Here is a 26,860-nt window from a genome sequence, read left to right as displayed (position 1 = left end):
GCGCAGGGCCAGGGCAGTGCCTTGCAGGAGACCATGCTCCTGGGGAGAGGCAGGCCAGGTCCGGAAGATACCCTGGCACCTCTGAGCCATCCCCTGGGCCCTGTAGTGGCTCCTCTTGGGGCAGGGGTGGAAGAATAAGCCCTGCCCTAATCTTCCACCAGCAGGCAGGGGCACAAGGAGACCGTCAGACACCCGGCACCACTGTCCCCAGGGTGATCACCCCCAGCCACACGTGCTTGCTGCCCAGCGTGGTGGTGCCGTGGCCGCACTGCGTGGCCGCCTCCCTCAGGTGGGCATCTCATCTGTCCATGACTCATCGCTGAGTGGGTGGGCCCAGCAACGCCATGTGGGCAGAGCAGCCTCCGGGCACTCAAGCCCTCCCCCTACCGGAACTGAGGACAGGCAGTGCGCATGGGTATGGAGACAGGAGGAGAGGGCCCAGAGGAATGCACGGGCACCCATTTTTCCGGGGCGACCCTGTCTACAAGCACACCAGCCAGCAGGTCCTGGACGTGGGGGGCCTGGCCTGGGCTCCAGGGTCCCTGGGTGATGGCTGTGTAGCTTTCTCCAAGTCACTGAGCCATTGTGAGAATGGGGACCGGTGGGGTGGCCCCGAGGACCTCACTGGGGCTGTGGATAGAACACGCCCAGGAGGCATTGGTAGAGCAGGGGATGCGGGGTCCCTGTCTGGGCCTCTCGGCCTCAGGGGCATCGGCCTCATAGATCGGCAGAGGCTCCTCCAGCCCCGCACGTCTCAATGGCCCCATGTGACACCAATAACCTCTCAGGGCCCAGGTTCCATCTGTGAAGCTCAAGCCTCTGGCCAAACCATCTCTTGGCACCCACTGACTTATTCCTTCACCAGGTGTTCACTGGACACCAGCAGGTCCCGGACACTTCAAGGCCACACAGTCCCCTGAGAAACGGCCACAGCCAGAGTCCAACAGACATGTGCGGCGAGCCAAGCGTCTCTGTACCAGAGGCCACATGGTCCAGGATACGATATATGTTACAACAAAGACACAGGGCCCACGTCGCAGAAAACGGGGAGTCCACAGCAAGGACACAAACATTCTCTGCAAAATGGGCCAAGAAGAGAAACTGCAAGGGGGTGAGAGGTACTCAAGGTGGAAACGCTGATGGACCCACCTCCACGGATGCCTCCTGGGCGTGTTCCATCCACAGCCCCAGTGAGGTCCTCGGGGTCACCCCACCAGTCCCCATTCTCACAATGCCTCAGTGACTTGGAGAAAGCTACACAGCCGTCACCCAGGGACCCTGGAGCCCAGGCCAGGCCCCCATGTCCAGGACCTGCTAACTGGTGTGCTTGTGGGGGGGTGGCCCCGGAAAGGTGGGTGCCTGTACATTCCTCTGGGCCATCTCCTCCCATTTCCATCCCCCATGCACACTGTCTCTGAGGATGAGGCGCAAATTCAAACTACAAGGAGAGGCCCCTTCACTGCCTGGGGCTTGAGGAAGATGCGGAGGAGGGAGGGCATGTGCCCTGGATGCAGGCTGGGGAGTCGGCACATTCTCGCACCACCCAGAGGGTCCTGTAGTTGCCCTTGATGAAGGCTGGTGCCAGCCACAGACCTCTGAGGGCTTAACCCACCAGCGTGCCCACTCACAGGGACTGGAAGGTGCATGCCGCTCACACTGGCACGGTCTGTATGTGCCAGCCATGAGACAGCCCATCAACGAATCAAAGCCTGCACTGGACAGAATGGTGTGCGACTGTGTGGAGGAACGAGGCCACTCGCCGCACACTGCTCTAGGGAGGCCTTCCAGAAATATGCCAAAGGAGTGAAACGTGGAAAGGCGTAGGGCGCACTCTCACAGATGGCGTGGGGTGTGTGTGCATGCAGGCGTGCACTTGTGTTAGGCAGAACACACATACCTGGAGGGGGAGGGAGGAGAACTGGGTTCTGGGGAAAACTTCACAGAATGCTGCTTTGCACCTTTTAAATTCTGTACAATGTAAAAGACCCATTCAAAAGATATAAGGGGCTGGGCGTGGTGGCTCCCGCCTGTAATCCCAGCACTTTGGGAGGCCAAAGTGGGAGGATCGCCTGAGGTCAGGAGTTTGAGACCAGCCTGGCCAACATGGTAAAACCCTGTCTCTACTAAAAATGCAAAAATTCGCCGGGCATGGTGGTGCATGCCTGTAGTCCCAGCTACTCTGGAGGCTGAAGCAGGAGAATCGCTTGAGCCTGGGAGGCAGAGGTTGCGGTGAGCCAAGATGGTGCCACTGCACTCCAGTCTGGGCAACAAGAGCGAAAATTCCATCTCAAAAAAATAAAAAAATAAAAAAAAAGATATAAGGATATATACACACGTCATATACAAGGGTATGTGGAGAGAGACAGAAGCCTCCTTCTCCATAAGGGATACATCGAAGACCCCCAGCGGATGCTGGAACTAGGGGTAATACCGAGTCCTACACACACCACGTTTTGTCCTCTACATACAAACCTATGACAAAGTGTGTAAATTAACAGCAATAACTAGTAATCAAACAGGACAATTCTAATAACAGGCTGTAGTTAAAGCCGTGTACACGTGAGTCTCTCTGTAAATATCTGACTGTACGTCCTCCCTTCTTCTGGATGACCAAGGATAGCATCAGCTCTGTGTGAGGAGAGGAAGCCGGCTGAACGACGTGAGCACCGTGACCGCGGAGAGGGAGCCGGGGGAATGACGTGGGCACCGTGACCGAGTGTCAGGCTCTACCGACCTCGAACACAAGCCCCGCAAGCCTCGCCGCGACAGTCAATCCGGTAACCGCCCTGGCTCCCAAGTGACCAGTGGGTACGCAGCAGCTATGGCTTGAGTCTGATGGACAAAGGGACGATTCATGCCCCGAGTGGAACAGCGTGGGACCATGGGGGACACCACCACCCTACGCAGAAGGGCGTGCGGCTTAAAACTCATGAATTGCTTATTTCTGGAATTTTCCATTTAATATTTTCAACATCATAGTTGGGTGAATGTAACCCAAACCAGAGAAAATGAAATGGAAGAACTATTGCACACGTGTGTCGCCAACGAAGATGCACACACACACGAAATCACACGTACAGACACACGCAAAGTCCTAGGCATGGGCACGGGCACACATCTGTGCCTACACATACACACTGCACAGTTCGGAACACAGAGTGGAAAGGCCGAACCATGACAAGGCCCGTGTGGCCACAAGGGCTGCCTCGGGCCCCTTCATGTCCCAGAGCTGGTGCGAGGCCTCCACTCTGATCCCCGCTGGACCTGCGCAAGTAGGAGGCAGGATGCCACCCTGGCCTCCTGTGTCCCTGCATCCCTCACGCAGACCTCCTTACTGCCCGTGGTAGGCGCCATCCTCCCCGGGGACGCCCCTCGTCCACTCCCCCATTTCCCTTCACCACATCCTCACTTATCTGCCCTGCACTGTTATCTGGGGATGTTGCATAGGATCACTGACACAGGGGAGATCTCGGCTGTGACAGCGAATGGTAAAAGATGTCCCAGGGCCTCGGGGGGCCACACTCAGCCCCTCTATCCACCGCTGTTTTATTTTGACTGGAATCTCAAGGTCTGGCAGAAACAGGGTGACACAACAAGACCAGCCCAGCCCAGGGAAAGTCAGGAGACAGACGGGGGGAGAGCTGCAAACACTCACCGCAGGCCAAGAGGGAATCGAGGCAGGAAGGCTCCTGCTGGACCAGCGGCCCCCAGCCTGTGTTCTAGGCCAAGACAGCTCCCCTCAAGCAGAGATGCCCAGCCTGGAGGCATCTGTGGCCATCTCAACTGGAGGTAGAGGCCCAGGATGCTGCTCAACCCCCCACATAGCACAGGGTGCCCCTACATGGAAGAATGATCTGCCTCAAACATCGGCAGTGCTGGGGATGAGCAAGCCTGCTCCAGCAGAACCAGGGGCAGCCAACACGTCTCTGTGTGGCTGGCCAGCCATGGCAGCTCCCAAACCCTCCAGGAGGCAGGGCCTGTGAAGTGGAGGTGGCCCCTGCAAATGCATCCCGCTCCTGGCACGCACAGGGTCCAGGGCTGCCACATCAGGCCCTGTCCACTCCCTGGCTTGTGAGGGATGCTGGTTCTGCCCTGCAGTCACGCTCTCTCTGTGCCATGCTGAGTCTGATCAGCGGCTGCTGAGGAGCCTCAAGCCCACCTGCCCACAACCAGCATCCTGTGGGCCTGTGACGCCCAACCTGCCCATGGCACCCAATGGCCCAAACGATGCGAAGCAGTAACGAACACGTTCAGTCTCTGTCCCAGCCCTTCAAGCCCTTGCCATCTCCAGAGTGGAAAGTGTCTTCTGCGTGTTACGGAGCGGACTGAAGGCCAGGGCCCTAGGGAGTCTCAGGATGGGCGCTGGTGGCCAGGAAGACCAAGGCAGATTGAGTGGGTTGGGACTTTCTGCCTTATCATCCCCAACTCCAGAAAGGGGCTGGAGATTGAGTTAATCACCAATACCCAAGGATTTAATCAATCATATGTACCCAAGGAAACATCAAACTCCTAAAAGATGGGGGGAAGGTAGCAAGCTTTCAGCTCAGTGAACGCAGGAGGGTGCTGGGAGGACGGCTTGCCCAGAGAGGACATGGGGGCTCAGCACCCACGCCCCTCCCCTGGCCCTATGCACCTCTGCCAGCTGGCACAGCCCGTCATACCCTTTACAACAAGCAGGGAATGGTAAGCAAAGGGCTTCCTGAGGATTGTGGGCCATTCTCGCAAATGACGGAATGCCAGGAGAGGGTGGTGGAAACCCCCTGACTTATATTCAGTCAGTCGGAAATACAGGTACCACCTGGCGCTTGGTTCCACTGGTGGCACTTGGACTTGGTATCTGAAGGGGGAGCAGTCTTGTGGGACCGAGCCCTTCCTCGGTGGGGTCTCAGCTAACTCTGGGGAGTAGTCTGAGAACCGAATTAAATTGGAGGACAATTTAATTAAATGGCCAGATATTCATTTGGTGTCTGGAAAGTTGGAGAACTTGTTGGTGTGAAAAACTGACACATTTGGTGTCAGAAGTGTGAGTGAAACCAGGTCAGCCGGTGACACCATGGCAGCCTACATGGAGGTCATCTCACACAACTGCCTAAGATGCAGCCACTGCTGGGCCCACGAAATGGCCACTCTCCCAGGAGGTGGCACCAGGAGGAGACGTCCCTTCCTGTGTGGTCTCCCTCAGCCCCACGCCATAAACACTAAGCACGATCACAGCGCCAGCCCCTCACCACTGCCCCCTGGAAATAACCTCCAAGTGATGGGTAACATGTGTCAACTTGACGGAGCCACAGTGCCCACAGGTTTGGTCAAATGATTCTGGATTTTTCTGTGAAGGAGTGTTTTGGATGAGAGTAACGCCTGAATCGGTGATTTTGAATAAAGCAGATGGCCTTCCATACTGTGGGTGGGCCCTATCCAAGCAGGTGAAGGCCTCAATGGACAAAGATGGACCTTCCTCAAGCAAGAAAAGAATTCTCCAGCGGAGGCCTCACGACGCCAGCTGCACCTCTCGCTGCGTCTCCAGCCTGCCCTCTTCCCTGCAGATGTCATACTGACAGCCTCTGAAACTGCAGAAGCTTATTTTTAAAAAGGGAAACCTCGCTCCCTCTCGCTCTCTCGAAGTCCCATTGGTTCCGTTCTCTGAAGAACCCTGACAGGTACACTCCCCCCACCATGGAGGGCCGGGACTCCTGTGTTCATGCCATCAGCGTCACGCTCAAGTCATAATCGGCCCGTGCGTTGGTCCAACCCGACTGTCCCTTCTCCATCCCTTAACTCCCCCTTCTGGGGCACTTTCCAGCCTCACCAGGGTCTCCACACCCAGAGAGCAGCAGCTCAGCCTGTGCCTACCACGTGTGTCTGGAGCCAGTCGGCTGAGAAGTGCCAGTAAGAGTTTTCTGAAAGGATGACAATGAAGGGCATGATGAAGTCAGACTCAGCCAAGAACCGGAAGCTGAGGTGCAGATATAACCGCATGTGGTGGGGTTCCCCTCACAAGTGAGCCAGCCAGAGGGGAACGGCAGGGAAACTGAGGCCCAGGTGATGCGGGCCATGGTGGCGTGGTGAAGGGGGCTGCAGGTAGCTCCTGGGACACTCTGCATATGAACCAGCCAGAGGGGACCGGCAGGGAAACTGAGGCCCAGGTGATGCAGGCCATGGTGGCGTGGTGAAGAGGGTGGCAGGTGGCTCCCAGGACACTCTGCATGTGAGCCAGCCAGAGGGGAACAGCAGGGAAACTGAGGCCCAGGTGATGCGGGCCAGGTGGCGTGGTGAAGAGGGTGGCAGGTGGCTCCCAGGACACTCTGCATATGAGCCAGCCGGTAGAGAGGGGAACAGCAGGGAAACTGAGGCCCGGGTGATGGGGGCCATGGTGGCGTGGTGAAGGGGGCAGCAGGTGTTCCTGGGGACACTCTGGGGACACGCTCAGGGAAGGCCCTGACTATCTCCCCTCTGGGACCATCAATGGTGGTTCACGAGGCAAATAACTTTACATGAATGCTATTTTTTGGTGTTCTTTAAAAAACTGGCCGGCTGTGGTGACTCACACCTGGAATCCCAGCATTTGGGGAGGCCAAGACGGGAGGATCGCCAGAGCCTAGGAGTTCGAGACCAGCTAGGGCATCGCAGCGAGACCTTCATCTCTACAAAATACAAAAACTAGTCAAGCGTGGGGGTGCACACCTGTGATCCCAGCTACTCAGGAGGCTTGAGCGAGAGGATCAGTGGAGCTGGGAGGTGAAGGCTGCAGTGAGCTGAGGTCGCACCACTGCACTCCAGCTTGGGTGACAGAAGGAGACCCTGTCTCAAAAACAAAATAAAATAAAATGAAAATGATGGCATCCAGCACAGAGGAGCCCTAGGGCAGTGGCGCCCCTCTGTATGCTACGATCTCGGTGGACGCACGTCACGATACGTGGGTCCAAACCCACAGAATGCTCCATGCCAAGAGTGAGCGCTGGTGTGAACCATGGGCCTCGGTTAATAACAGCGTGTCAATGTCGAGCCTCACTTGTCACTCACGCGCCTCCCTCATGCCAGCTGTTATCACGGGACCCTGTGGGGATGGGAGGGGCAGGAGAGAGGCTAGATGGAAACTGCCATCTGCTCCATTTTTCTGTAACCCTACAACTGCCCTAAAACATAAAGCCTGTGATTTTCACAAACAGTAATAAAACCACACTCTCAACCTTGCCCCTTGACAGAATATTGAGAATGTGCTGCGCTGAGGAGCGTTAATCAGTGAGGACCACACCGGGAGGGGGCTGGTGTCCCTTAGCCCTGATGCCATCCCAGAGCCCAGGGCCCAGAACCCAGACCCAGACACACGGGCCGTGGAGGCACAGCGTGGTCAACAGAAACCAACGCTCAGTCCTGGGCCCCAGAAGGCCGCGTCTCTTCAACACTGCTTCTTGCCTTTGCTGAAACAACTTTATCTGGGTAACTTTCAGCAAAACAACTTTTTGTTTTAATTAAATGAAAAATAAATCTGGCACAGCTACCATAATTTCTACAGATTAGCCGAGCTTTGAAATTCCTACGCTCCTTGTTAAACCTGTTAATTCAGGCACTGCTTTCAAGATGCATTTCAAAAGCTTTGGAACATGCTTTCTTAATACAAAAGTTAAGATTTAAACAGTAATACCACTAATTCCTCCAGAATGGAGCTTAATTAGAGCAGAATGAGAGATAACAAATGTCCTGTTACAAACCATGGCGAAAGTTGTATTATCATACTTACAGATTGTTTTGCATAATCTTGCCACTTAATAAGGCTACAAGATACCATGTATGAGAAGTTTTAATTTATGCAGCTTGTAACTCAGCTGTAGTTGGAGACAATCTCAGTTCTTAAAGGATTAGAGCACGCTGATGTGAGCGTGGCCCTGTGTAGACACGAATTAAACAGTGCAAGAGGACCTCCAGGGCTGCTGGGAGCCAGTCCCCAGAGGCACCCCGTCCCCTGCAGCCTGATGGGCAGGTTGCCCGCTGCACTGCGTGTGGCAGCACGTCTGGAGATGTGTGACATCTCCCTTATTGTGGCTTGTCCACGGAACGGATGCAGGGTCTCTTGGTGGCCTCCACAGAGCCCCAGTGGCTTCAATCCAGAGACGAGACCTGGGCTCTTCTGATCAGGGAGCTCCTCATAGCTACCGGCAGCACTTGCGGATCTAACACACATGGCCACTTCCCCGACCTCTTCCACAGGATAACGCCAGCCCCTGCTCTGTCAGCTGCCTCCACTCCCCCTAACACCTGTTGGAGCCTTGGGGCACAACCACACCCCCACTGACGCGCCGGGAAGAGGAGAACCTGGAAGGGGCAACCATTTGGGGAACCATGTCTCCCTGAAGTTTGAGGTTGGAGCTGATCACGGGTGGTGGTGGTGCCTCCTCCCAGGCTCCATGGCTGCACATCCCCTGAGTAGGTGGGAAGGGAACTGCTTTGCCACTGGCGGGCCCCAATTGGGGCATGCAGGCTGCAAACTCAGGGGTACGAGCACAGCAGGGCCACACTCAGGGGCCTAATTCCAAAGCCAAATTCAGGCTCACCACCACCACCCGGTCACAGGCTCAAGGCAGCACTCCTTTCTAGAACTAGAACCACCCTGGCTGGGGCTCTATGTGCCCCGTGTGGACAGGGAGAGCTGATCTGCAAATTCCCTCAGGGGTACAGGCACCCTGCTCAGCCGAAGGTGTGCTGGGGACATGGGGCAGTCCCAAGGGCTACTCTGAGCACCAAAAAAAAAAAAAAAAATGTGCTCAGGAGGCAAATTCAGCTCCAGCTGCACTTGCCTCCGGGGCTGAGAGACAGCGGAGCATCCTGGCAGGGCGCCCGTCCTTACGCCCATCCGTCTGTCTGCACTGCTATCTGTCCACCTCTTAAAAATACAGACAGTGCTCCTGGTAGACAACAGAAATGCGGGGACCACTGAGTGGCAGTCTGGCCTCTGCAGAAGGCTCTGGACACCCACAGATGAGGGCTGTGCAGAGGCTCAAAGGCAGGATGCAGAGATGGCTGGCAGCCGACGGGAGCATGAGCCTATGGGGATCATCACACCGGGGCTGCTCTGAGGACTGTGTGAGGCATCAGAGTCCTGCACTGCCCTGTTTTCAGGCTATGTCCCTGAGAGGGTGGGGCCCAGCCCTCCCTATCCCAGCCCCATCTTCCCATCCCCGTGGGCGTAGCCCTCAGAGGCTGCCTGTGCACACTCGTGTGTGTGTGCCTCGGAGCTTGTCAACCTATGTGCACCGGGTGCTCAGAATGCACTAACAGCTTCCCCTACATGCGTGCACCCCAGAACGTCCCACTGGTCCCCCCATTTCTCTCCTCGCCCATCCGAGTGGGTCAGACAGCCAAAGCCTGCCAGGATCTGCTGCATAGTCTGCAGTCCTCGAGCCTCGCTGGGTCTCGCCTGCACCCCAACGCCGGGCAGTTCCACTGGCCAAGAGCAGCCGCCTGCTTCCCTCTCACCGCCCCTGTGCATCCCCAGAGAAAGAGTGCAAACACAGGGCCACTCTGTGGGCACAGGAGCATGACCAGGGCCTGGGAGGATCCACAGGCCTCAGCGCCCTGGAAAAAAGCTTTTGTTTTCTGGCATTTATCACAATGGGTCTCCCCGGAAACCATAATTCCTTACATAAGGACTTCAGAAGATAGAGAAAATAATAGGAAAAATAACGAAAATGAGAGCCGACACACTGATGAGGTCTCCTTGGGCTGCAGCGCCGTGCACTCTGTGTGCTGTGAGGTCCCCTTCACCACCTCGGATGCTCACAGTTGCACTGGGGTCCACAGCAGGGCAGGAGGGCGGCAGGACTTGGCCTCGGGGGAGCTCTTACTGTCCCATTTCACAGATCGGGAAGTGGAGGCCTGGGGAGGCCGTGCTAAGGGATGGCCCCAGCTGGCCTTCCTTGGGGACTCCCTGGGCTGCGACGGCTCCCAGAGTTCACTGCACCCGAGCGCGCGGTGAGAAGGCGCCCAACAGGAGCTGCAAAATGAAGGTGCAATTTTAAGCAATTGGTACCAACACAGCCACCTGGGGTGCTGGGCCAAGGGGATGTTTCTCTCAACTTGGCACTAGCCCTCCTCAACCCAGCAGTCCCTAATCCCCGACCCCAGCCACCCCCATCAGTCCTGTGCCCTGAGACACCCCCCGAGCCCAGACAGCCAGCTCAGAACCTCTACCTGGTGCCAGGCCCACAGCAGTCTCCCTGCCTGAAAAGACACGTCCCCTTCACATCGGTCACCATCAGTAATTTGAGACCCATATGGCCTTGGGCCAGTCCCTCCCCTGCCCCGTGCCTCTATTTCCCCATCTGCAAAATGGAGGGGCTGGGCCCGACCAGCTGCATCTCAGCCTCTGCAGCCCTCCTCTCCCAGCTCCAATGCTCCGCTTTATACACCAGGCTGCTGGGGACACAGGTGGGGTCCTGGGCTGGCCTCGGCCTCAGGACGTCAAGCTGGGAAAGAGTGATGGCGTCTCCCAGGTGACACTGTTCGCGGACGTGACTTTGGGCACCTCCCATCCCGCGTCTGCTGCGGCTCCTGTCGGGATTCCCGGAGGACATCTCAGTTCCGACGGCTGCAGGGACGCCTCCCTCCTACAGACCCCCCCGCCCCACTCAGCTAGCTCTGAAGAGGCCCTGGTCCAGGACTCAGGACCAAACCCCACAGACAGGTCCACCACAAAGACCCTGATCCAGCCAGCCAAGCCCTCTGTCCCCAGGTAGGTGTCTTTCTGAGAGACCCCTGGGACCACCACGGAACACACAGGAGGGATTCCAGGGAAGCTCCAGGAATGCTCCCCGCACCTGCATCTCCTACAAATGCCCCAGAAAACTGTGTTTCTGCTCGGTTTCTCGGGAGCACAGGGCTTCCTTGCTCTAGACTGGCTCAGGCCTCTGAGCAGGAGGGCAGGCAAGAACCAACCTTCCCAGGACCGAGTTAGTCACTGAGAGGAGGGAGTGAGGGAGGGAGGGAGGGAGGGAGGCAGCAGATACCGGCCAGACAGGCAGAGCGCAGAGGAGTGCGCCCCAGAGATGAAAAGAGAAACGACAGTGCCCGGAGCACCCGTTTCGTGGTTCTTCAGCCCAAATCAGAGGCTGGGACAGCAGGAGGGGGAAGAGACCTGGACCCAGGGCTGGGCATGAGGCAAGGACAGCAGAGAGCTGAGTGCAACGTCCCAAGCCCCTGCCTGTAGTGGCTCCCACTTCACCTGCACCACAGCCTCCAAGGTCCTCTGATGCTTATCCTGCGTGCAGGGCAGCAGACAGGGCATGGGGAACACAGCCACCAGGTCACACACCAGCAAGGGGACAGCCAAGGCTCAACCCTGGGGGGCTGCAGGCTCTGCCAGCCTCACTCCAGGGCCACTGTACAGTGTTGGGGACAGACCAGCAGCCCATAGAAAGAAAGGAGGCTGGCACAGTGCCCTGGGCACAGCACTGGCACAGGGTCAGCACCATGGGTGGGTCACTGACCACAACAGCAACTCCACCCGTGGCTCAGGCCCAGGCCTCAGGGTGGGGCCCGACCAAGGCTGGCCCCACCAGCCTCGGGACCTGCAAGGGACCCCCCGCCTCCTGCCGTCCAGGCAGAGACCTGCTAAGGAGGGGAGGTGCCCCGGGGCCGTGGGCATCACCCCCGGCCATCACACTTCAGTGGCTGAAGGGCGCTCAGGGCCGTGAGGCTGGGGCACTGCATCCCAGGCACCTGCCTGGGGAGACAGACACCGGGCCCAGGCGCCCGGGATGCTGGCTGCCCTGAGAGGGAGACTCCGTGGGGGAGGTCGGGAGGGGCTGGACCCTAGCTACGTGGGCTTCCGCGAGCCCAGTGCCTCCTCCCTCTGCCACGCCACCATCTCCTGACTGGGGAACATGCTGCCCACATCAGTTCAGGGCTCAGCTGGCCATGGCCCCTCCCTCAGGCCAGCTCAGGGTCAGGCCCAGGCTCCGGCATTCACCTTCCAGCTGCTCTGGGTCACCCCATCACCCTGTGACCCCGCTGCCCTGGAGCAGGCTCTCTCCTGTCATCTGGAGCCCTCAGGGCCGCCCCCGGTCAGTGCCCACTCCCTGCGCCAGCAGGATGACTCTGTCCAATGCGAGGCCTCAGAAACTCCCAGAAACTCCCAGCTGCCTCTGTCTGTGCTCTCCATCCAGGGCAAGGCCATGGCTGCAGGCAACTGAGGCATCGCAAGCCCTGGGGGTCAGACGCACGGGGGTGGGAGGAGAGCGGGCAGGACCCAGAGGGGTGGCTTGCGACGGGAACACCCACTCCTGCCTGTGGCTCTGAGGGCAGTTTCCACCCAAGGGCAACCACGATCCCTTCTAGAAGATTCACTAAGGAACCGGGAAGCTTCTCCTCTTCCTGGCTCACAGCCCATCCCAGAGACAAGAAGAAACCAACTCAATACACAGAACTCTTCAGGTTGCTGTCAAGGCCAAGCCACCAACTTCAGAGAAAAGAGAAATGTGTGTTTCAACTAAGATAAATTAGTGCATTAAGAACAAATCATGACTTTGGGAGGCCGAGGCGGGCGGATCACCTGAGGTCAGGAGTTCAAGACCAACCCGGCCAACATGGCGAAACCCCATCTCTACTAAAAATACAAAAATTAGCTGGGCGTGGTGATGGGCGCCTGTAATCCCAGCTACTCAGGAGGCTGAGGCGGGAGAACTGCTTGAACCTGGGAGGCGGAGGTTGCAGTGAGCCAAGATCATGCCTTTGCACTCCAGCCTGGATGACAGAGTGAAACTCCATCTCAAAAAGAAAAAAAAAAAAAGAACAAATCATGAACAAAAAGACTAAACACCAGACACATTTTTAATAACATACCAGGTAACTGTGAAGCTGGTCACAACGGATTCCAACTGGAATAGGAAATGGCCTGGAGGAGGCTGGGCACAAACATTGATCTTTTCCACAATTTTCTTTTGGATTAAAAAAAAAATGAAAATGTCACTTTCAAAGGTACACCAGCCGGTGGGCTCTCAGAGTCACAGTCCTGGGTCTGTGTATGGCAGCCCCTCGTGGTCAGCTCGGCCCAGGCTCAGCCCCTTCTCTACACTGGGTGTTTAGGAGATGCTCGAGAAGCCACAACAGTGTCTCCCGGGCTTGGGCCACCTGTGAATCCGCCAGGGTTGCACCATACCCATGTATCACCTCACTGCTAAAAAGAAACCTCCCATCAGCCCGTGAATGGAAAGCCAGCGCCTTTGCCATAAATAGAAGGTAGCCATAAAAGCTGATACACAGCTATTAAAATAACAAATGCCCGTCCGCATCCGCATAAAACCATCTTGCAGGCCAACAGCGGTGCGTGCCCTTGCTCTGGGCAATGCTGGATTTATGGAAGGAGGAGCATTAAGAATTTCTGGGCTGGCCACCCCAACCCCGATCTCCTCGGGAAAACCAGCTTCTTCTTTAACCCCCAACTCAAGGGCCCTCGCCTCCGTGGCATTCCACCTCCGGGATGGGAATCCGGATCTTCCCCTTCATGCTGACGGAGCATCTGTCCCCTCCAGGTCCTCCTTGAGACAAGGTGGACCCGAATCAGACCCAGGCCCCATCCGCCAGCCACGCTGACCAGAGACCCCCAAGCACGCGTGCATGTGCGCGTGACACACACACACACACACACACACACGTCGGCTGCAATCCCCTGTGACAAGATCTTCGGCTTGGCCTGCTATATCCGGTTCCTCTGGCCGCTGTAACAAACCACCACAAACTCGTGGCTTAAAAACAGGAGTTTCTGCTCTCACAGTTCTGGAGGGCAGAAGTTGGAAATCAAGGTGTCTTGGGCCTGCGCTTCCTCTAAAAGCTCCAGGGAGGATCCTTCCTGCCTCTTCCAGCTCCTGATGGCTGCGGGTGCTCCTCAGCGTGTGGCCACATCACTCCAGACCCTGCGCTATCTTCACGAGGCCCCCTCTCTGTTTGCTTCTCTTCTCTTCTAAGGACTTGCCTTTGGAGTTTGGGTGCATCCTAACCTAAGGCACCATCATCTTGAGAACCTGACCTTAACTACATCTGCAAAGGCCCTTTTTCCAAATGAGAGAGCACCCTGGGTTTCCAGGTGGCTCTGTCTTTGGGGACCTCCAACCGACCCTGGGTTTCCAGGTGGCTCTGTCTTTGGGGACCTCCAACCAACCCTGGGTTTCCAGGTGGCTCTTTGGGGACCTCCAACCGACCCTGGGTTTCCAGGTGGCTCTGTCTTTGGGGACCTCCAACCGACCCTGGTTTCCAGGTGGCTCTGTCTTTGGGGACCTCCAACTGACCCCACAGGTGTACATTTCTCACAGGTGCAGAGACTCAAGTCCTCACTCTGCCTTTTCACATAAATGATCCCATGAGACCTACCAAACCCCCAGCCAGTCACCCCCTGGCCACCTTCCGCCAGCAAGCAGCCCATGTCCGGCATACAGCAGGTACTCAATACGTGCATGCCAAACTGAGGCCAGCATGTCTATCAAGGTTGTCCCCAAGGCAACCAGCGGGCAGGAGCAGGGAGTTGTCACTGTGCAGGCATTCCCTGGGGACAGGAGGGTCTGAAGATGGATTTTCTGGTTCTGCAAAGCACAGTTATTTATAAGCAAGGTCTGCATTCTTCTATCGGTGAAGCGAATCAGAAGGCCTGCTTGGCTGCTTCTGTAATCGGAGGAGAAGGAAGGTAATTGGCTAATAAAATCCACCTTCTCTGAGGCAGAGGCTGACTTTGAAGAGTGTGTATTGTAAAGGCTCCATGACCTCTTCTAAATATACCCAGGGAAGATCACGGGGGGCCAGGTTGGCTCCATGCGGTCCAGTTGGAATGGTCTCGGGGACGGGTCTTCCCACAGATTCCTGAGTCTTCTGCCAGGAGCATCCCCGAAGGCACTGTGCTCACCTGAACCAAGGGCCTTCTAGAACCTCCAGGCCCTGCCCTGCCCCAACCGGGAGGCCACAGAGGCAGGGAGGTGGCACCGAATCGTGCCCCCATCCCCGCAGGTCCCCGTTGTCACAGCAAGAGACCATAGCCCAGAAACCAGCCCCGATACCCAGCAGCCACCAGACTCAATCCATGGGGACCCACTTCGAGTCCAACACAGGGGACGGGGTGAGGAGTCCCACTGTCAACTTTGAAGGTAGCACCCACCCTGCCTGGGACCCTCTGCAGGACCCCTCCCACTGCGAGCAATGCCTTCCTTCCCCCAATGCCTCAGCAGAGCCTTTCAGGACGGGCAGTGCAGCCCCATCCAGGGAGCAAAGTCGGGAGAGAGGGCACCTGGTTCTCGGGCGGCCGCCGAGACTGCACTTTCTGCCCTTGCATTTCCTCAATGGCAAAGTCATGCAAGGATCACACCCTCTGCGCAGGTGGCCTGAGGAGCAAAGGAGGTGACAGTGAAGAGCAGTCACTGCGGTCATGGCCAGGCCCCTCTCACCAGACGCACCTGTGCTCAGCCCCAGGGGCTCACCACCTTGCCACCTCTGCCAAGATGACCCTTCTCCACACTTCAAGGCCAATGCTGACCCCTGGTGAACATCCAGTTCTCCCATGGACCAACCCCCCAAACCACTGGAGCCCCCATTATGCACAGATGGAGCTTGGCCAAGGGGGCTCCTGGCACCTGCAGGATAACCCGGGCCTGCCTGCTTCCCTTCTGGAGTAAAATGGGCAGGAACAAGGAGCCCGCCTAGCTGGGAAAGTGCGGGGACTGAGACAGAAAGTTCAGCCTGGGAGGGAGGGCTGCTTCTGGGAAGTTCAGGAGCCCCTGAGGGCAGGCAGAAGGCCGCCTCTGCGTGAGTCCTCCAAGCTCCAGGCCTTCCGAACCGCTGATTTGATTTTTAAAACGCAAAAGGAGAAGAAAAGGCAAGGGCAGAAGGCCGTGTTTGGAGCATGCTCACGCGGGTGGCTGGAAGGGTGTGTGTGAGGGCCGGGGAAGTGGGGAACCCGCACCCTGCCCTGAGGGCCAGAGAGCCAGGGCCTGGCCTACCCCACAGGGCGGCCCCATCAGCCAGAGGACCAGGTGTCCCTGGGACACTTCAGGTGACACCGGCTACCCTGGGACCCTCCAGGGCTCCATTCCCTGGGCTAGGAGTCCACAGAAATGCAGCAAAGGACAGGGCCAGCAGCCACTGCCTCCTTGGTGCCTGGAGCTGTGACTTCCTTAAATGCCTGCCTGCAGCCCACCCCGACCCGCCTGCAGCCCACACCTGGACTGCCCACAAACAGCTGCTCCTGTTCCACGCAAGGGCAGCAGCTCCCAGTGTGGCTGAGGACACAGCCCTTTCTTTACCACCAAAGCACAAAGCTGCAAAGAAGGGCAAGTCCCTGCAGTCCAGGACCCTCTGCCCACCCCGAGGCCCGTGAGATGAACCTAGGTGTGCAGACCCCTCCAGAACTCGTGCCCACAGCATCCCAGAGCCCCGGAATGCATGGGAAACCGTCATGGGCCTCCACACAGAAGGTCACCCCAAATTCAGGAGGAAGGAGAGCTACCCACCCACAGAACACTCTCAGCTGACGACGGCTTCCACACCCAAAGCATGAAGAGAGACCTGCATGTGCCATGAAGCCACAGGGAAACCACAGACAAACAGACACAGCTGACAGCACGGGCCTGGCTCCTGCACCCTGGACAGGGGGTCGGTGGAGGCCCGGTTCTCACCAGAGTCCCCATGTGGGGTAGGCCTTGATTACCCGGAGGGTGCCTTTTGGCTGCCCCGCACACTACAGCCCAGCCAGACACAAGGTGGGAGCCCATCCTGCCATCCAGGGGACATGGGGCAGGCCTCCCTCCCTGCCTCCTGCAACAGTGTCTGGACAAAGGGGCTGCATCCTTGAGGAACTCTCTAGAGAACACAGTGGGCACTGTCCAGGTCGCCCAACTGTGCATGGAAGATTCCAGACTGCACTTCAAAGACTCCGCCCACCAGGGTCCAAGCCACCTTCCCAGGACCTCCGGATCCAGAGAAGCCAGGCAAAATCCTGAGAACACCAGCCCTGCACCCCTGCAAATGTGTGCGAATCCCTCTCCAGACAGCGCAGTCCTGTGGCCAGTGCCTGTGGCCTCATCTGCTCCACAGACACGCCCAGCACTTGGCAGGGGTGGCTCCTGGGTTTTGCACAAGGTCACTGCTGGGGCCATCTGTCAGGGGACCCCCGTGGAAGTCCTCGGGCTTCCACTCCTTTTATCATTCCCTTCCTGCAAAGAGGAGACCGAGGGTCCCAGAAGCCCAGCCACTAGCCTGGTATCATGCTGCAGGTGGGGCTTCCTCGTCCCAAAGGTTATTTGCATAGGTGGGTGTGACCCTTGGGAGGAGCACAAGACCTGCAAGACGGGTGATGCAGCCTGCAGCAGGAGGTGCGTGTGCAATGCCCAGGCAACACCCACGCCACCTCTGCCTGGGGTCATAGAGAGAAGAGAGCCACGTGGCTGCACCTGTCCTGCTATCCTCTGGGATCTGCACCCTCCCTTGACCTCACTGGGCCACACTTGCCCCAGCTGTGAAGGTCAGGGCAGTACCTTCCTCCTCAGGAAGCCTCTGCAGAGGCCCAGCCAGCGAGGGCCAGGGTCAGGGTCCGGGTGAGGATGGGGACAAGGCTGCAGGGGCAGAGGCCGAAGCTGGGGTCCACCCTCCTCTCCCTTCCTCCAGAACGCCAGGCTGGGCCCACGGGGTGAGCTGCAGACTGTGTGGTGTTTGGGGTATCGTGTGTGTGCGGTGTGATGGGTGTAACGTGTGTTTATGATGTTTGGCTGTGTGTGTATAACATGCATGTGGTGTATGTTTGTGTGTGTGTGTCTTGGCATGTGTTTGTGTGGGGGTGTGTTTCTGCGCTTTGTGTGTGCGTGGCCTTCACAGGGTATGTGTGGTGTGTGTGTGGTATGCGTATTTGGTATGCGTATGTGGTGTATGTTATGTGTGTGTGTTGTGTGTGGTATATTCTGTGTCTGTGTATACGTTGTGTATGTTTGTGGTGTGTGTGGTGTGTGTGCATAATGCATAGTGTGTGTGTGATGTCTAGTGTGTGTGGTGTATTTTGTTGTGTGTGGTATCTGTGTGGTGTATTGTGTGTCTGCGGTGTGTGCTGTGTGGTATGAGCAGTGTGATGTTTTTTGTGAGTGGTGTGTGGTATCTAGTTTGTATGGTGTATGTGGTGTATTTTGTATGTGGTGTATGTGTGGTGTATTTTGTGTGGTGTGTGGGATGTGGCATGTGTGTGATGTGTTGTGTGTGTGTATGTGGTGTGTGGTGTGTGTGGTGTGTGCTGTGTGGTGTATGAATATTTTGTATGTGTATGTGGTGTATTTTATGTGTGTGTGTGTGAATATTTTGTATGTGTATGTGGTGTATTTTATGTGTGTGTGTTGTGTGTGGTTAGGTGGTATATTATCTGTGTATGTATGTTGTGTATGTGGTATGTTTGTGGGTTTCTGTGTGTGTGTGGTGTTTGGCATGTGGTATGTGTGCACAGTGTGTCGTGTGTGGTGTCTAGTGTGTGGTGTATTTTGTTGTGTGTGGCATCTGTGTGGTGTATTGTGTGTGTGTGCGTGGTGTGTGCTGTGTGTGTAGTGTATGCTGTGTGTGTGATGTTTTTGTGAGTGGTGTGCGTGTGGTATCTAGTGTGTGTGGTGTATTCTGCATGTGGTGTGTGTGTGTACATGTGAATGTGTGTGATGTATTTTCTGTGTGGTGTGTGTGTGATATCAGTGCAGTGTATTTTGTGTGTGTGTGTGTGGTGTGTGTGTGTGAGATGTATTTTGTGAATGGTGTGCTTGTGGTATGTGGTGTATTTAGCGTGTTGTGTGCTGTGTGTTGTATACGTGTGTATGCGTGTGTGCTGTATTTTGTGTGGTGAGTGGCATGTAGCGTGTGTGATGTGTGTGGTGTGTTGTGTGTGTGTGGAGGGTGCGTGTATATGGTGCGTGTGGGGTGTGTGGTGCATTTTGTGTGGTGTGTGTTTGTGGTGTATGTGTGTGTGATTTGTGCTGTGTGTGTGGTGCATGTGTGATGTATTTTGTGAGTGGTGTGTGTGCATGCGTGTGTGGTGTGGTGTGTGTGAGGTGTATTTTGTGTCGTGTGGTGCATGGCATGTAGTGTGTGTGATGTGTGTGTATTTTGTGTGGTGTGTATGTGTGTGTGTGTGTGGTGTATTTTGTGTGTGGTGTGAATGTGTAGTATATTTTGTGTGTGGTGTGTACGTGTGTGGTGTATTTACATAGTATATTTTGTGTGCCATGTGTATCTATGTGTGTGGTGTGTACTGTGCGTGTGGTGTGTACTGTGTGTGGTGCACGGTGTGTGTGGTGTGTGTGATATCTGTGTGGTGTATTTTGTGTGTGTGTGGTCTGCTGTCTGCTGTGTGTGGTGTGTGTGTGTGTGGTGTGTGATGTATTTTGTAAGTGTGTGGTGTCCAATGTGTGTGGTGTATGTGGTGTATTTTGTGTGTTGTGTATTTTGTGTGGTGAGTGGTGTGTGGTGTGTGTATGATGTATGTGATGTTTTGTGGGGGGGTGTGTGCATGTGATTGGTGTGTGTGTGTGGTGTGTGTGTGTGATATATTTTGTGAGTGGTGTGTGGTGTCTGGTATGTGTGGTGTATGTGGTGTATTTTGTGTGTGGTGTGTGGCGTGTGGTGTGTGGTGTGTTATATGTGTGGGTAGGTGTATATGGTGTGTGTGGTATATTTTGTGTGTGGTGTGTGTATGGTGTGTGGTGTGTGGTGTGTGTGTGGTGTATGAGGTTTATTTTGTGTGGTGTGTGGCGTGTGTGTATGATGTTGCGTGTGTGTGTGGTGTATTTTTTGTGTGGCGTGTGTATATATGTAGTGTATTTTGTATGTGGTGTGTTGTGTGCTGTGTGGTATGTTTGCATGGTATATTTTCTGTGGCGTGTACTGTGTGTGTGGTGTCTGTGTGGCACATTTTGTGTGTGGTGTGTGTGGGATGTGGCGTGTGTATATTTTGTGTGTGATGTGAGGCATGTGTGTGGTGTGTGGTGTATTTTGTGTGTGGTTTGTGTATGGTGTATTTCGTGTGTGGGGTGTGGTGTGTGTATATTTGGTGTGTGGTGTGTGTGCGTGATGTGTGGTGTGTGTGGTGTATTTTGTATGTGGTGTGTGGTATGTGTATATTTTGTGTTTGGTTGCACTGTGTGGTGTGTGGTGTATTTTGTATGTGGTGTGTGGTATGTGTATATTTTGTGTGCGGTGGGTACTGTGTGTGTGGTGTGTGTGTGGCGTATTTTGTGTGTGGTGTGTGGTGTATTTTGTATGTGGTGTGTGGTATGTGTATATTTTGTGTTTGGTGTGCACTGGTGTGCGTATTTTGTGTATAGTGTGTGGTGTGTGTGTGGTGTGTGGTGTATTTTGTGTGTGGTGTGTGGTGTGTGTATAGTGTGTGGTGTGTGTGCGGTGTGTGGTGTATTTTGTATGTGGTGTGTGGTATGTGTATATTTTGTGTTTGGAGTGCACTGTGTGTGTGGTGTGTGGTATATTTTGTGTGTGGTGTGTGGTGTGTGTGTGGCGTGTGATGTGTGTGTGGCGTGTGGTGTATTTTGTGTGTGGGGTGTGTGGTGTATTTTGTGTGTGGTGTACTTTGTGTGCGGTGTGTGTGGTGTATTTTGCATGTGGTGTGTGGTGTATTTTGTGTGTGGTTTATTTTGTGTGTGGTGTATTTTGTGTGTGGTGTGTGGTGTGTGTGTGGCATGTGGTGTATTTCGTGTGTGGCGTGTGTGGTGTATTTTGTGTGTGGTGTACTTTGTGTGCAGTGTGTGTGGTGTATTTTGCGTGTGGTGTGTGTGGTGTATTTTGTGTGTGGTTTATTGTGTGTGGTGTGTGGTGTATTTCATGTGTGGTGTATTTTGTGTGTGGTGTGTGTGGTGTATTTTGTGTGTGGTGTGTACTGTATTTTGTGTGTGGTGTATTTTGAGTGTAGTGTGTGGTGTATTTTGTGTGTGGTGTGTGGTGTATTTCGTGTGTGGTGTATTTTGTGTGTGGTGTGTGTGGTATATTTTGTGTGTGGTGTGTGGTGTATTTTGTGTGTGGCGTGTGGTGTATTTTGTGTGTGGTATGTGGCGTATTTTGTGTGTGGTGTATTTTGTGTGTGGTATGTGGTGTATTTTGTGTGTGGTGTATTTTGTGTGTAGTGTATTTTGTGTGTGGTGTGTGGTGTATTTTGTGTGTGGTGTATTTTGTGTGTGGTATGTGGTGTATTTTGTGTGTGGTATGTGGTGTATTTTGTGTGTGGTGTATTTTGTGTGTGGTATGTGGTGTATTTTGTGTGTGGTACGTGGTGTATTTTGTGTGTGGTGTATTTTGTGTGTGGTATGTGGTGTATTTTGCGTGTGGGGTGTGTATGTGGTGTGCAGCATATGGTGTGTAGTGTGTGCAGTATGTGGGGTGTATGGTATGCGTTGTGTTTTTTGTGTGGTGTGGGTGTGTGCATCGTGTAGTGTGTGGTGTGTCTCTGTTGGGGGGCACCGCAGTGCGTGTCTCTGGGAGAGGTGGGCTCACACACAGAGCCCAGGTAAAAGGAGAACGAGGAAAGGGCCGCCTGCCCCGACAGGCAGGTCAGGGCTCCCACAGTACAAAGGCTACCGGGTCCCATGGTTGGTCTCAAAGGAGCCCTGTCCACTCACTGGGTGCGTGTGTGAGCGAACAGTCCCATGTTCCACGCAGACCCACAGCTGCGTGCTTCGCTCCATGTTTTCTGTCTGCTCAGATCGCAGTGCAGCCACAAAACTATGTGTCTCTGCGTAAATAAGGTGAGGATGCCTCCCTCCCCTCTCCAGGAACACAGGAACACCACTGCCTGCGTGCGCTGCTCCCTAACGAAGGGGCTGTATTTTAAATGAGGTTTATAATGCATGATCCTGTAGTTTATGTTTAAGAAGATCACACACAATGATATGAACACCTATGAGCATTTAGTTATGCATAAGCAGGCACGTGTACACACACACATATGCACACACATGAACATGTCAGCAGTGAACCCTTCCAAGAAGGTTGCCCCCGAACCCGGCCTTCTCCAGGCCCAGGGGCTCTTGGGCTGTGTCTGCAGCCAGCACTCTACTGAGCACGGACACGGCCTCGCCAGTGGCCCCTCTCCTACAGCTCCGCGCGCCCAGAGACGGGCAAAAACCACCCACCTCCAGACCACCGAGTGGGGAATAAAACCATTCTCCGCACGGCTTTCTCGCACTGTGCTCAGCACGGCAGCAACATGGGAGACTGATGAGTTTCCACAGATGCCGGCGGCAAGATCAGCCGCAATCCAATCCTCCCGAGTGTGCAGTGGGAGGGACCCCCAGCTGGCCCCGTCCGTCCACTGCCAGCCTGGCCCTCGGCAGGGACTGGCTCGGCCCTTGCAGGGAGGCCTGGGAGGCTGGGACTCCTGTGCCCAGCAAGGCTGTGATGAGCCACCTTGTGTCTGGAAGTCACCTCCATTTCCAGTCCTTTTATATTCTAACTTTTACAGTTGTCAGAGACACAGCAGATGAGAATCCCATTACGGTGAGTGTGGGTTTTATTTAGATTCTGTGTCACACAAGAAATGATAGTAAATGATGATAAAAGAGTTGGTTATTTTTAACGCCTTTTCATTTCCACCCCTCCCAGCAGCCATTCACACCTACCTGGCCTTGCAAACAGCGTCTGCTGGAGGGTCAGGGAGAGGCAGGCTGAGGGACACCTGCCATGTGGGGCTGGCACTGCGATGCCCCTGCGCTCTGTCTGCCTGCACACCTCATCAGGGCCATAAAAACAATGCACCCAGGAAGTGGGCTAGGGAAGCCCCTGGGGCCCCTAGACAAAGCCCAGCACCCCTCCACACGCAGTCTGAGACTCAGGGAGAAATGAGCAGCCAGCTCCAAGCTCGGAGCCTGGCGGCCGGGGCAGCCCCATGCCAAGACTGGGTGCAGGGGTGCAGGCACAGCTGGCCGTAAGCATTGAGAACACAGAGCTGCCGAACTCCCTCCTCCTTCCACACACACCGCGTGCAGTGAGTTCCTCCTCCACCGTTAGACACTCAGAATGGAGCCCGGTGCAGCCTCGAGCCCTCACCAAGAACAGCCTTGCTGCTCTGGGAAACCTCAAGGGCATCTACCAAGCCCTCACCCAACCCATCATGGACCATCCACAGCCCTAGCTCTATGCCTCTGGGACAGAATGGCTGTACGCATTCAGCAAATATTTTTGATGGAGTCTTAGGGCCGGGAACTGTGCTGTGTCTCCTAAGAAGTTCTCTATCCATTTCTTAAAAAATAAACTGATCCATCTAACAGATAGACGAACACTCTGCATTGGCTGCTAATCTTGTAAAGACAGCATCAATTAATGATGACTGCGCGGAGCCATAACCATTCATACACCATCAATTGCCTTCACGGAGCTGAGCATGCCCCTTGTTACGGGCCACATGGGTTTGCAGGAGGACGCCTCATTTCCGAAAGAGCCAGCTAACTAAATCAATGGAAGTTGAATCCGTTGACTCAATCAACAGTCTGCCCTCCGAGCAGCTGCTCAAAGACAGGCACGCCACAGCGGTTCTGAAAGCGCTTCTGGAATCGAGGCCCGGGTACACCGTGCCGCGGCCGCTGGACGCAAAGTTCTCAATATTAACCTGCAAAAGAGGCTTTTGCACAGCACGTTCAAGCCGTCGAATGCACTCCCCTGCCACCAAAAGGATTTACCGAGATAGAGTTGAACCTCAAACCCACATTTAAAGGAAAGAGGCACTGGGTTCTCCCTCCCATTCAGAAAGGATCGGGCCGAATGATTTCCCGGCTTTCTCATGTCCCTTTGGGTGCCAAAGCCCAGAAACCTCTCTGCCGCTGTGGCCTGCCTGGGTGGCCCAGGCTTGCCGCATTCCTTCCTCTTTGAAGTATTTTCCTATCCTTCTGTTTACATTAAGCTTCCACACCAAAGCCTGCTCATCTGTGCTGGAGTGCTGGAGTCCAAGTGACTCAAGACTTCCAGAAAAATATTGTAAAGTCTTTGGAAGAGGGAGGTGGAAAATATTTTTATACTTCTCGCCGTTTCCTTAACTCCGTATTTGGAGGCCAAACATGATGATGGAGATAAAGTGCTGGCTTCCCTCTCGCGTCTCCGTGACACACGTCGTCTGCACCCTAAGGAAGCGGCCGGCTCTTCCATCAGGGTCCTGGGATTCCCGCCCTCGTCCCCCACTTTAACTACACCCCATGCAGACACAGCACGTGCACACACCAGGCAGTTCAGAAGAAAGGACGGCTCTCCCCTCCCAGAGGAGGGTCAGCGTGTCCTAAGGATGACAAGGCAAGAAGAGCAGCTGCCCAGGCCCCAGTGCCGGACCCCACGCTGCGGCCCTGCTTTCTTCCTGGGCCTGTGGCTGCCCAGCCAGGCCTGGTGCGGTGGGCAGGACCTGTTCTCACAAAGCTGGGACATACCGAGGCTGCAATTATGGACCGCAATTTGCCTCTCTCTCGGTTCACAGCCCTATTCATCTCCACAAACACTGGAAGACCAGAGTGGCCAGGGGGGGACGGATTAGCCACGGGGTGGCCTCTATCTCCACACAAAAGGAGAAGTGTGGAAAAACGGCTCCCTGGGTCCCCCATTCTTCACCCCTGAAGAAAACAGATTCATGAAAATGGCTATTTAAACAGCTCTTTCCCACTCAGGCCCAGACAACAAGTCACAATTGTCCACCCGCCTGCCTTGTTCCCTCCCTCCTGCTGGACAGCGGCTGCTGGGAGGAGAGTGGCCCCAGGCCGAGCCCATCAGCCAGGAACCAGAGTCGGCCACCCCCCTCCCTGCACCTCTCACTGCTGGTCCCCCAGGCCTCCCCTGGGGCTCCTGATGCCAAGGGGCCAAAAGGCCGTCTCAGCAAGGACAGGGAGGCTGCCCAAGTCCTGACCTTCCAGACAGACAGGCAGCAGGGCTCAACCCAGGGTGGTGAAGGCCACCGCTTCCGGACAGGGAGACAGGACTTCAGGAGTCCTGGAGGGCTGCGCAAACACTGGGACCCGCAATCGCTCCTCCAAAGGTACCTGTGCCCTCAGCGTACAGCTGACCCCATCCTCATCCCACCTTCCTATGACTGCGCCGTCTTCCACAACACCGACACACGTGTGTCTGCTTCAAGGTAAACATGGAGATCTCTGTGAAGGGCTAAATCCACAAAAAGTACTCCACTAAGCGAGGCCTGCTCCACACCTAGACCCTCCCATCTGGGAGACAGAAACTCTTTCTTCTTGGCCAAAAAACAGAGTCCTTTAGACCTGGAGCCTCAGGGGGACAGCAGAGCCCCCGGAGGCACCTGCACTGGGGCAGCGCCGCAGGGCGAGGCAGAAAGGAAGCCCTTGTCACAGGCCGGCCACATGGCCAGGAGCTTCTCCCGTTACTAACTCACAGCTTCAAAGTCAGTGGAACTTCACTTCATCACAGAGTGTCAGGATGCAGCTGGGCACCTGGACCTCAGAGAAACACTGAAATTTTCACATACACGCCCTTTCCGCAAGCCAATCCCCCAGAGACTTCGAGATCAGCCAGAGAGGCAGAGAACTTGCAGCGCGAACACAAACAGGCCCAGCAGAGCAGGGACCCCTTTGCCAGGTACCTGGAATGCACCAGGGGTGGCTCCCACAGTCCTGACACGCGACACCAGCAGAGGACAGCCCTCGCGGGCTTGCCTGGACCCAATGACTCCTCAGCAGGAAGGATGGCCTCCCCAGCCCCAAGTGCTACTGCCCTATGGCAGAACCACCCACTCCTGAAGTGGGTCAGCAAGGCAGCAGGAAGAAGTTGGGCCTCCCACCTGGGGAAGGGTCCCCGCAAGCCCGGGCTGGCAGGCCAAGCCCGCAGCAGAGTCCTGGGGTAGCCTACTCTCCCTTCAGACCTGGCCCTCCTCTGTACTAGGTGCCCACATCCAAAAGCAAGGGAGGGAAGTGGACACCAGGCCCGTGGAGGTCACAGGGTCTCGGGCCGGGCTCCTGCACCTACCTGCTTCCCCAGGCCTCCGGCGGCTCATTAATTAGTCAGGAAAGCAGCTGAATGTTGCAAGCCCTTCCTCTGCAGGAACCCAGAACTAATGAGAACCCAGCGCCTTACCAGCCACACAGGCGCCCTCCGGTGCTCAGCCTTCCCAGCGGACCAAGGGGAGCACCAGGCGGAGCTGGCCCAGCCTGTGTGCCAGAGCACTAGTAACCATGAGCAGGGGTGCCCGGGGGGAGGCCAACGCCTCAGTTGCCCCCAGTCTGATATGACAGGCCAGGCTGATCCCGGGGTGCACCGGGAGCCCTGCAAAGGGAGCCTGGCCCTGAAACCAGGAAGTTTCCAGGAGTGTGTCTGGGGTGCCTGGAGCCGACCGACCGCCCATCAGGGGAGGTGTGGCCCTGCCCCCAACCCCCAGTAAGATGCTTCCCAGTACAAAGGGCCTCTCCAGCCACGAGGGTCCAACCGTTATCCTGGGCGCCTCAATAGTCCCAGACTGCCCTGCAGTCCAGCAAAGACCAAGAGAGCAGGGGCAGAACTTGGCGCGGGGACCTGCGCACCCCGGTGACCAAGCCCCTGCTTCCCAAACCTATGGGTCTCTGGAAGGCGGCTTGGGCCCTGGGGAACAGGTGCGCAGGCCGGTTTCCCGACGTCCGCGGGTCCCAGCCCGGCGCCCACCCTGGCGGGTCCCAGCTCCGCTCCCGCCCCAGCCCGGCCGGCCACCGTGGAGCGCTGGTGCCATCTACCGAGGGCCCGGCGGCGTGCGGGCGGGCGCCGCTGCCACCGAGCCCAGTGGGGCAGGGGATGGGAACGGCAGCCTCGGCTTGGGCTGGGGATCCGGGGCGGCGCCAGAGGCACCGAGAACGCAGCGCGCCCCGACCCCGCGCCCTGCCGGTGAGCCCCGATG

At 56.0% G+C, this 26,860-nt stretch overlaps 1 protein-coding gene and 1 long non-coding RNA gene across 4 annotated transcripts in view, besides 1 other annotated feature; both read right to left on the bottom strand.

Annotated features, from left to right (window-relative positions):
• TAFA5 (TAFA chemokine like family member 5) overlaps window positions 1-26,860 on the bottom strand; it is a 262,380-nt gene that overhangs the window by 148,301 nt on the left and 87,219 nt on the right. The gene's annotated exons all lie outside the window — the stretch shown is intronic.
• On the bottom strand, window positions 7,443-26,592 carry LOC124900480 (uncharacterized). Of its 2 annotated transcripts, none has more exons than XR_007068144.1 (2): window positions 25,963-26,592; window positions 7,443-9,988 (listed from the first exon to the last, which is right to left on the bottom strand). It is a non-coding gene; the product is annotated as an uncharacterized LOC124900480 (long non-coding RNA). The 2 variants fall into 2 exon arrangements; XR_007068145.1 differs by lacking the exon at window positions 25,963-26,592 and adding an exon at window positions 12,835-17,981.
• Window positions 25,980-26,486: an enhancer, noted in NCBI's record as "H3K27ac-H3K4me1 hESC enhancer chr22:48972958-48973464 (GRCh37/hg19 assembly coordinates)". NCBI's record gives its function as "activates a minimal SCP1, AML or CMV promoter by ChIP-STARR-seq in primed H9 embryonic stem cells {active_cell/tissue: H9 hESC(primed)}" and the evidence as "EXISTENCE:reporter gene assay evidence [ECO:0000049][PMID:30033119]".

The sequence above is a fragment of the Homo sapiens genome, chromosome 22, assembly GCF_000001405.40.
Source record: "Homo sapiens chromosome 22, GRCh38.p14 Primary Assembly".
NCBI classification, from domain to species: Eukaryota; Metazoa; Chordata; class Mammalia; order Primates; family Hominidae; genus Homo; species Homo sapiens.
The sequence above is the reverse complement of the archived record's forward strand: the minus strand, read 5'-3'. Positions and strand labels throughout refer to the sequence as shown.